General features: G+C 43.4%; 2 annotated features.

Annotated features, from left to right (window-relative positions):
• Window positions 1045–1272: a silencer, noted in NCBI's record as "fragment chr4:53427991-53428218 (GRCh37/hg19 assembly coordinates)". NCBI's record gives its function as "represses an EF-1alpha promoter that drives an FKBP-Casp9 reporter gene in an ReSE screen in HepG2 liver carcinoma cells {active_cell/tissue: HepG2}" and the evidence as "EXISTENCE:reporter gene assay evidence [ECO:0000049][PMID:32094911]".
• Window positions 7364–8075: an enhancer, noted in NCBI's record as "NANOG hESC enhancer chr4:53434310-53435021 (GRCh37/hg19 assembly coordinates)". NCBI's record gives its function as "activates a minimal SCP1, AML or CMV promoter by ChIP-STARR-seq in naive and primed H9 embryonic stem cells {active_cell/tissue: H9 hESC(naive and primed)}" and the evidence as "EXISTENCE:reporter gene assay evidence [ECO:0000049][PMID:30033119]".

A 9260-nucleotide genomic window follows, 5' to 3' on the forward strand; every position in this document is an offset into this window, starting at 1 on the left:
GCCCGCCCACTCTGCAGATTCTCAACCTGCCAATCTTCACTATTGCTTGAGACAATGCCTTAATCTCTCTCCTCTCTCTCTTTACACACACACACAGGCACCCACACACATTCCATGGGTTCTGTTTCCCTGGAGAACCCTGACTAATACACACACACACATACACACACACACATACACACACACACACAAGCACCCACACGCACTCCTCCAAGGCATCAAATTCTTACTATTTAATTCAACAAGACAAACTTGGGGTTTCTTAGATGTATCATCCACTGGTTTGACTGTGAACTATCCTAATAGTCATGGCTCATCATTCATGACAAAGAATCCCTATTTCAGTTTGCCTGTGATGATTAAACCACCTCCTCCATCCCCCACCCCAGGAGGAAGCACTCCTTCCCATAGTGCCTGGGAATGTTGGCTGTTGACAGCTCTCAGCTGAGTCTCTCACCAGAAACTGTCCTTGGCTGAAGAGAATGGTCTCAGCCAAGGTCATACACCCTCCCTGAGGCAATCCCACGCAAGTCTGGAATGATGTGTGGTAAAGGGGTGGGTTACGGTTTACCCACTTTGCCTCAATTTGGGATAAATCTGAAAGGTCCTCCAGCTCCAGAGCTCCCCTTGGAATCAGCTGTGGCCTTTGTTACACTGCACCTTGGTTCAGCTTCTCTCTCTGCCCAAACTTGCTTCACTTACCACCGCCCTCAGCCACCACACTTGCTGATATTGAGACCACTCCCCAGTATATCTCCTGCATGCAAATATCTGCCTCAGAGTTCACTTCCAGAATCCCTGCACTGTGGTCCCAGCCCACCCTCAAGCAGCCTTCTGACCATTAGTGGGATCCCGTATGTGAGGATTTGCCAAGATCTCAGACAGTGCCAATGGCTTGCTGTGTCAATTGCGTACCCCTATATGGATAAAACCAAGGAGGTTGTTGTGGGCAGCACTGTCCTTACACCTGTGCCTAATAGAGGGCCCTGTACCTTGGAGTGCCTTCATCAAAATTTTCTTTTTTTCTTTTTTAGATGGAGTCTCGCTCTTGTCACCCAGGCTGGAGTGCAGTGGCGCGATCTCGGCTCACTGCAACCTCTGCCTCCTGGGTTCAAGCAATTCTCCTGTCTCAACCTCCTGAGTAGCTGGGATTATAGATGCCCGCCACCACACCCGGCTAATTTTTGTACTTTTAGTAGAGATGGGGTTTTGCCATGTTGGCCAGCGGTCTCGAACTCCTGACCTCAGGTGATCCTCCCGCCTCAGCCTCCCAAAGTGCTGGGATTACAGGCATGAGCCACCATGCCCAGCTGCCTTCATCAAAATTTTCTAAGTCTCCCTCTGATGCCTGAGGGCAGTCAGGGCCAGCAGTGCCATCCAGGTGGGCCACCTCTTTCCTTGAGGTGGCTGCACCTGTATCTTCCAAGGGTATTCTAGCTACTAGGCCACATGATTAGGCTAATGGCAATTTTTACAGAATGCCTAACAAATATGATCTTATTTGTCTTCTGCTCTGAATAAAAAGTGAAATATAGATTTTTGTTAGTATTAGATTGGTGCAAAAGTAATCTCCCTTTTGCCATTACTTTGCGTGGACTATTAGACTTAGACATGGTCTCTGGGCACTCCCACTTTTCCCCTGCCACCACTTTGGCCAGGCTGTATTCTTTTCCTTTGGCTCTCAGCTTAGAAGTAACCTCCTCTGTGAAGCCTTCCATACTCCACCCTAGCCCATTAATTCTCCTGCCACATGTCATACCGTATGTGCTTGCCTGTGTACCTGCCTGTTGCCTTGAGGGCAGGATCTATGACTTACTCGTTAATAAATGCCCAGCACCCAGCAGATGCTGAGCACATGGTAGAGAGTTGTTGAATGAATCTGGTCCAACCCTTCATAACACCTGAATATCCTTTCATCATTGCTTTACTTGAAGGAAACAAAGCACAAGACAGTTAGTTATAGGTTTGGGAATCCTAGATATCAAAAAATGCCTTCATTAAAATGAGCTCCCACCGGCTTTCTTGTGAATTCCACCCATCAGCCCTATCTCTGCCTTCCTGAGCTACTCAGAACAAACCTGGGTCCCTACTCCATCAATTACTCCTTGAGTATTTGGGGTCACATCCTCCCTTCCCAGACGGGGCAAATTATTTTCTCTTGAAGTCCCTAAGTTAAACATCTGGATACTTATCAACACATGAGAAGTATGTATTTCCCTAATGAATAGTGTTTATAGGAAACCAAATAGATTTCAGACCCAAAAAGGGTAACACACTTCTCAAGACCAAGAACTGTGCATCTCTTTATATGTACTGCCCAGCACTCAATAGATGTTCAGATTAAACTACCTTTCACTCTTCTTTTTCATTTATTGCATAAATGAAAAAATAAGCATGGCTCCACTAGGTCTTCCATAATATCACTCTTCCTTGACCCGCCTCCAGCCCTGTGGAAATAATTCAATGATCCTTCATGTACTTCTACAGCATATTGTAAACCAATTTGAAAGTATTGGCCAGGCATGGTGGCTCACGCCTGTAATCCCAGTGCTTTGGGAGGTTGAGGTGGGAGCATTGCTTGAAGCCTGGGCAACAAAAAAAATTAAAAAAAACAGCTGGCCATGATCATGCATGGCTGTAATCCCAGGTACTTGGGAGGCTGAGTTAGGAAGCCCAGGACTTGGAGGCTGTAGTAAGCCATCATCGAACCACTGCACTCCAGCCTGGGTGACAGAGAGACACAGACAGAAAGAAAGAAAAGAAAGAAAGAAAAAAGAAAGAGAGAAAGAGGAAAGAAGGAAGGAAGGAAAGAAGGAAGGAAGGAAGGAAGGAAGGAAGGAAGGAAGGAAGGAAGGAAAGGAAAGGAAGGAAGGGAAGGGAAGGAAAGAGAGAAAGAAAAAGAAAGAAAGAAGAAAGAAAGAAAGAAAGAAAGAAAGAAAGAAAAAGGGAGAGAAAGAAAGAAAACACAAACTGACCAATGTGTGTTATTGTGAAGTGCTTATGTACATGTATGTTTCCCCACTAGACTGGGAACACCTTGAGGAGGGAAAGGTTTTATTTGTTATTGTATCACCAACACCTAGCACAATGCCTGCTACATGATAGGTACTAAATATATGTTCTCAGTGTGTACAGTAGAGTATTTGAACTAAAAATATCTTATTTGTGTACACAATTCTTTGTCCTATCCATTTTTAATAAAGAGATAAAGTTCTGCTTTGCTGGGCCATTTTGCAGCAAGACAAGATGTGCTCTTGTACATATGGTACTGGTTAGATATTTGAGAAACATCAGACAGGAGTCTTCTTGGGCTTTCAGAAGAAAATATATGTGCTTTATGCTTCCACATAGTCAATGCATAGTGCACAGGGTGTGCCTGAGTTGAGTTGAATCACATCATTGCTTCAGTGAGAGCACTCTGAAGTTCGAAAACATGACGCCTAGAGAGTGCAAATCACCCTTGCTCCTTCATGAGAACTTCTGTGGCAAAACAGACATCTAAGCAATACTCCCCCTGGAGCAGGAAAGCTTTAGAAGTCAACCTTACAATGAAATTTTTTTTCTTTTTAAAATTAATCTCCATCATCTCTTTAATCTTCTTTAAGGATATAATGGATTGTTGGGTTAGAAGTCAAAACCCATGACAGAATTTACCCAAGAGGTATCTTCATCAGCTGTAATGGAAACGGAAATGTGTATGCTAATAGTAACAGACACATCAGAGCAACATCAGTTAAAATAGAAGCAGAGCTTCCTGGAATTTTGTTGAGGCACCCCCAAGGCCAGACACTAAATCTACAGAAGCGGAGTCCTGATGAAGATTCCATGGCAACCATCACTAGGGCAGATGGGCATAGTAAGAGCGAAGACTAACTGCCCCATTCCCTTTTAGAATTGTCCATTGAAAGAGCGAGCCAAATGTATATCCCTCTTAGCAAGTGTGAGTTTACATTTTGTTTACATTTTGTCAGCCTGTTTGCTGACACCATTTTACGTCTCTACTGTATCTTTTTTTTTTTTTTTTTTGAGACGGAGTTTGGCTCTTTTTGCCCAGGCAGAAAGTGCAATGGTGCAATCTCGACTCACTGCAATCTCCGCCTCCCAAGTTGAAGCGATTCTCCTGCCTCAGCCTCCTGAGTAACTGGGATTACAGGCACGTACCACCACACCCAGCTAATTTTTTGTATTTTTAGTACAGACAGTGTTTCACCATGTTGGCCAGGCTGGTCTTGAACCCCTGACCTCAGGTGATCTGCCCACCTCGGCCTCCCAAAGTGCTGGGATTACAGGTGCGAGCCACCACACCCGGCCTATTGTATCTTTATAAGCCCTCATAAATTAGTTTGGGAACAAAATGAGGAATAATGGAAAAGGAGAGCATAGGGCTGTTGACTCGTGGGCTTCTCTGGCATGATATCGAGCTAGAGATCACTAATTTTTTGCATGATAGGGCTCGATACCACTAATTCTTTTCTCCTGGACTGATAGGTTTTGCCAGAGAGAAATACTCAAATTTCTGCCTGGGATAGAGATGGCTGTAAAGCCTCTTTTCTGTTTTCATGTTTTTTCAGAACCTAGTGGAGAAAGGAATTAGGAAAGAGGGCATTAACTATTTAGTTGGTGTCCTCCTGTGATTTTGCCTTTGGTTGTTCCTTTACTATACACTGATGGTGGGAGTGGGGTGGTGGACTGAGGGAAGTGTGTGATTTCAACCTGCCAGAATTAACTGCAAATCTTCCCAATGATGTCAGAGAGGGGTGGGTGCCTATAAGTGATTGCATGAGTGAGAATATCTAGTGGCCATATGACATGGAGAAACACTCAACTGAACTTTCTCTATTGGAAGCAAGGCTGTTCTTCAGTTTCTTGGACCGTATTAACCTAGTGTTTTTCTAGAGCACTTAAAGAAGTCATCACTGAAAGGTCCAGAAAAGGGCCACACTCTATGTCTGCCATTGAGGCTCTAATCCACCTTCACTCGGTAGGGACTCCACATCTTTGAAACCACTGTTAGAGAGGTGTGGGTACATGCCAGGACAGTACGAGTTCACTTGCTCAAAAGGGCTCCTCCAGATTTCATTACATGCCAGGGTCCTGCTGGTAGGTGCCTTGTCTCCTTCTCTGTGACTGTCATCTCTACAGTCCTCCCAGAGTCCCTCCCAGTGACAGACCTCCAGGTTCAAACCCAAAAAGATTGGAGAAGGTGGAGGATTTGGGGAGGCTGCCTATTTTATGTGAGGCCCTCTCTTTTCTACATACCAAGGATAAAACAGGGAAGAAAATAGGAAAACTCCGTGTTTTCATGGAGCTTACACTCTCATGGGAATGAAATTTAAAGGCAGCAAGACCAATTTTAGGAAAAACTTACCCACTCATTCTAACTGTAAGCAAAAGATGACAAGTGGTGCATTTAGGCTTCTAAATCTTAGGAAACACAAGGTCTTTATAAACTCAAAAAGAGTGAAGACAATGGCCACCCAGGAGCAGAGTGGCAGGTTGGTGAGTGGACAATGAGTCAGCAAGGATCCCTGACCCCCAGTGAGGTCTGGACTAGACGTCCCTGGCCCATCCATGGAGGAGCTGGTGATCTCACATTCTCATTTCTAATGTCATTTTCTCTGTTGGACATAGAAACACATGGATGTGCTGAGCACAGTGCCCAGGGACAAATGCTGATATTACAGCTGCTGGAGTCAACACCTCTTCTTTCTACCCTTTCTTGTTCAAGGCTGTGAAGATAAATGTAATGTAACAGCCATTGGAACCCCCAAAACGCTTTAAGTCTTGAGAAAGATGTGACTGTGATCTGAGTCAAATATGGTTACAACATCTGTTCTCAGATTATAGATTAACTGACCAGATGATAGAAAACTCATGACTATTACATCCTCTGTTTAAAACAAAGTGAAATAGTTAAATGTACCCTTTCTAAAGAGAAAAACTGCCTATAAGCAATTAAATTGCTGTAACTATGCACCAACCTTGTCTGAATAATGTTGTAATCCTGCTAAAAACCCCTCTGTCTCTGCCAGTATAAATACATGAAACCTTAACTTTCCTATTTGTGAACACTTACTCCATTCCTTTGGAGTTGGTGTTTCTGGGTGGTCCATCCTCACACTTTGCACTTGAATAAACTCTCTTTAAATTTGATGCTGACCATTTTGATTATTTTAAGTTGACAAGGCTGACAGCATATCCATATTTCCAGAAACATCTTTCTTATCTGAAACTTTATTTCCCCAGGGCACTTGGATTCACACTCTAGATAAAATTTCTCAAGCAACTCTGAGTAAAACTGTTGGGAAAATTGAGGTCTCCCTTTAATATTTAGGGGATGAAAGACTTCTGTTGTCTTAATGTAGAGCACAGGTTTAGGCAGGAATGGCAATGGGCATTTGTTGATTTAGTGTCATCCAGCATCCATAACAGGTCCTGTTTTCATTTTCTTTTGGAAATCCACGCTCACCTATTCTTAGGTCATGTGGTTCAGATGCACACCAGCTCTCCCGCTGCTCCCAAGATATCACCCCATGAAGCACAGGGATGAAGAAGCATGTGACTTCAGCCAAGTGGCTCATTCAAACTCCTCACCACAGTGATTAGTCTGAGGCAGCAACATGGGTTCTAAGCAGAGCTGGCGAAATGCAAGGAGACCTTTTGTGGAAATGCCAGAAGAGAAGCAGGTGCTCCTTGATGAACCTGAACCTCAGACATTGGAAGACCTAGGACTACAGCCATATTTTAACCAGCTGGGCACTTGAGCTAAAATTGAGGAAAGACAGACAGAGAGAGAGAAAAGGAAACATAAATGATATCAAAGAAAAGTGGGAAGACAGATTGGATCCTGGTGCCATTATTTGAGCCCTGAGTCAAACTGTACTTGAAACTGGATATAGAGCTCAAGTTTTCATCCAGATGAGTCAATAATCTCCCATTTTTACTTAAACGAGCTTGCATTACATTTACTGTTGTAAAGAAGAAGCCTAGTTGATAAGCTAGTGTGGCTATCCTCACAGAATAAGTGGGGAAGGGATGCCTCACTGATGTGACTTGAAGGGAAACAGGCCCAGGACCAGCAGACTTGATTAAAGAGATGTGCAAACAACAGATCTTCTTGGTCCTCCTCCCAGAACTTAGGACAGCTGAGAGCTTGGGAAGAGGATGTCACTGTTTGTCTCAGGTAATACAGTGTCTATGTGTTTATAAATCTAGGGAGGACAAGTGATTTGAGTGATTGCAATTAGGAAATAACGAACTGCCTAATAAAGTAGATTTCCTAGATCTCTCAGACCCCAGAAAGGAATGTGATTCTCATGAAGTTCTACCATCTGGATTCGCCAAAAAAATTCTGCAGCAAGAAAAAGAACCCAGTTCCTGCATGCTAAACCCAGAAACTCTTCTTAATCGGAAATATAAAGTAAGCCACCATAATGCTGCAGAGATTCAGTGGGCTCCTGCCATATTTCCGCTCTTTAAATTTCACACTATGACAAACCCCTTCCGGTTGTTTAGAGGTTGCTGCGGTGATTTTGATAGCTGAGATTCCTGACCCGCAGTTTTTCCTGCCTCCCAAAACCAAGGTGCCCTTTTTTTCATGGGGCAGGTTTCATTTTGTGGTTTTCTTCAATTCCAAGTTTGAGCCTGGTGTCTAAAATAGATATACTGCCCTTTGCTGCTGATCACAGTGACCTTCTAAAGGGTTTAGCCGAGAGAGTAATCCCTGTTCATATGAAGTACCCCCGCTGCGAAAGCTTAACTTAAACCACATTCCACAAATCACACACACCCCCCAGGAAAAACCTCCATCATAAAGAGATGATTGCACTTTTTGTTTTTCAAATAGAGCTCAAGCCCCTGTAAATTGTATCAGGGATTCTCCATAGGATAATGAGATTTGGGAATAGGATTAATACCAGAGCATGTATCCCCAAAGTTTCAAAGAATTATTATTTTCTAAATCCTGTTTTTCATTGTGTTAGAAAGTGAAGTTAAAGGGACAGCAAATTATTTGTTGGCTTGTTTTTTAGTTAAAACAGTATGGAGCAAGAATTTCATCTTTGGTCAGCTTATTTTAAAAAAGGATTCTCTACCCAACTAATGTACTCTTGAATTCTAGAATGTGATTGCTATTTGGTCTGGGCAAAAAAGTAAAATAAAATAAAATAAAATAAAATAAAACCAGGTATATACTGTCATCTGCTCGATTAGGTATGCTCACAAATAACCCCACTCTCAGTGGCATCACAGAAGACAATTGTATTTCTTACTCATGTAAAGCTCAACTGGCTGTTGGGGAGGCAGCCTAGGGAGCTGCCTTCTAGCTGAGTCTTGGGGTTACTACATAGAACTTCTGCATCTGGCCCGCAGAAGATGGAAGAAGGTAGAGCAAGGAGGAGCATGTGGGAGGATTTAGGGGCAGGCTGGAAAGAAGTAAGCATCACTTACACTCCTCTGACCAGAGCTCAGTGAGGAATCCCTATTAACTCCAAGGGAGGCTGGGAAATGCAATCTTGCTCTGTTCCCAGGAGGACAAGGACATGGGTTTCGTGAGCCTCCCACTGTTCTCTGTCACCTCTGCTATGCCCATCACTCTAAGTCAGCATGCTGGCTTCTCTTTCTTCTGGGTCTTCTCTGTAATCCTCATCAAAATTAGAATATTTGCATAATACTTTGTAATTTTTAAAGCTTTTGCATGACCATTATTTCAATTAATCCTCACAACCACTCTGAGAGATAGCAATCATTAATCCCCACTTTAAAGATGAGCACACTGAAGCAGGAGTAAATGAACAGCAGAGCTCAGTCTTGAACCCAAGTCTTACTGCTCTACTCTTCCAGGGAGGCAGTGTAGTGAGGTGGCCAAGGGAACTGGCTCTGGTTGCAGACTGCCTGGGATGAAATCCCAGCCCTGCCACTGGTTGACCACAAAACTAGGGCATGTTGTTAAGAAGACACATCCCTGGGGACCCAGCCTGAGGTGGCCTTTGAACTGGGGACTCACATGCACTTTAACTATTTCATTTTAACACCACGAAAAATCTCTAAGTATACCAACTCCGCACCAGGTTTCTGTGGACTGTATAATTTACAAAGACATTTTCTCATTTGATCCTTGCCCCACATTCACCCCATGAGGGAGGCATGGAAGATATTATTCCCCATCTCTAAGGTTAAAGAAACTGAGTTCTCAATTAAATGATCTTTCCAAGGTTATATGGCTATTAAATAGTAGGGTCCACACTAGAACGTGCTAGCGT

Source organism: Homo sapiens, chromosome 4 (assembly GCF_000001405.40).
Source record: "Homo sapiens chromosome 4, GRCh38.p14 Primary Assembly".
Taxonomy (NCBI): domain Eukaryota; kingdom Metazoa; phylum Chordata; class Mammalia; order Primates; family Hominidae; genus Homo; species Homo sapiens.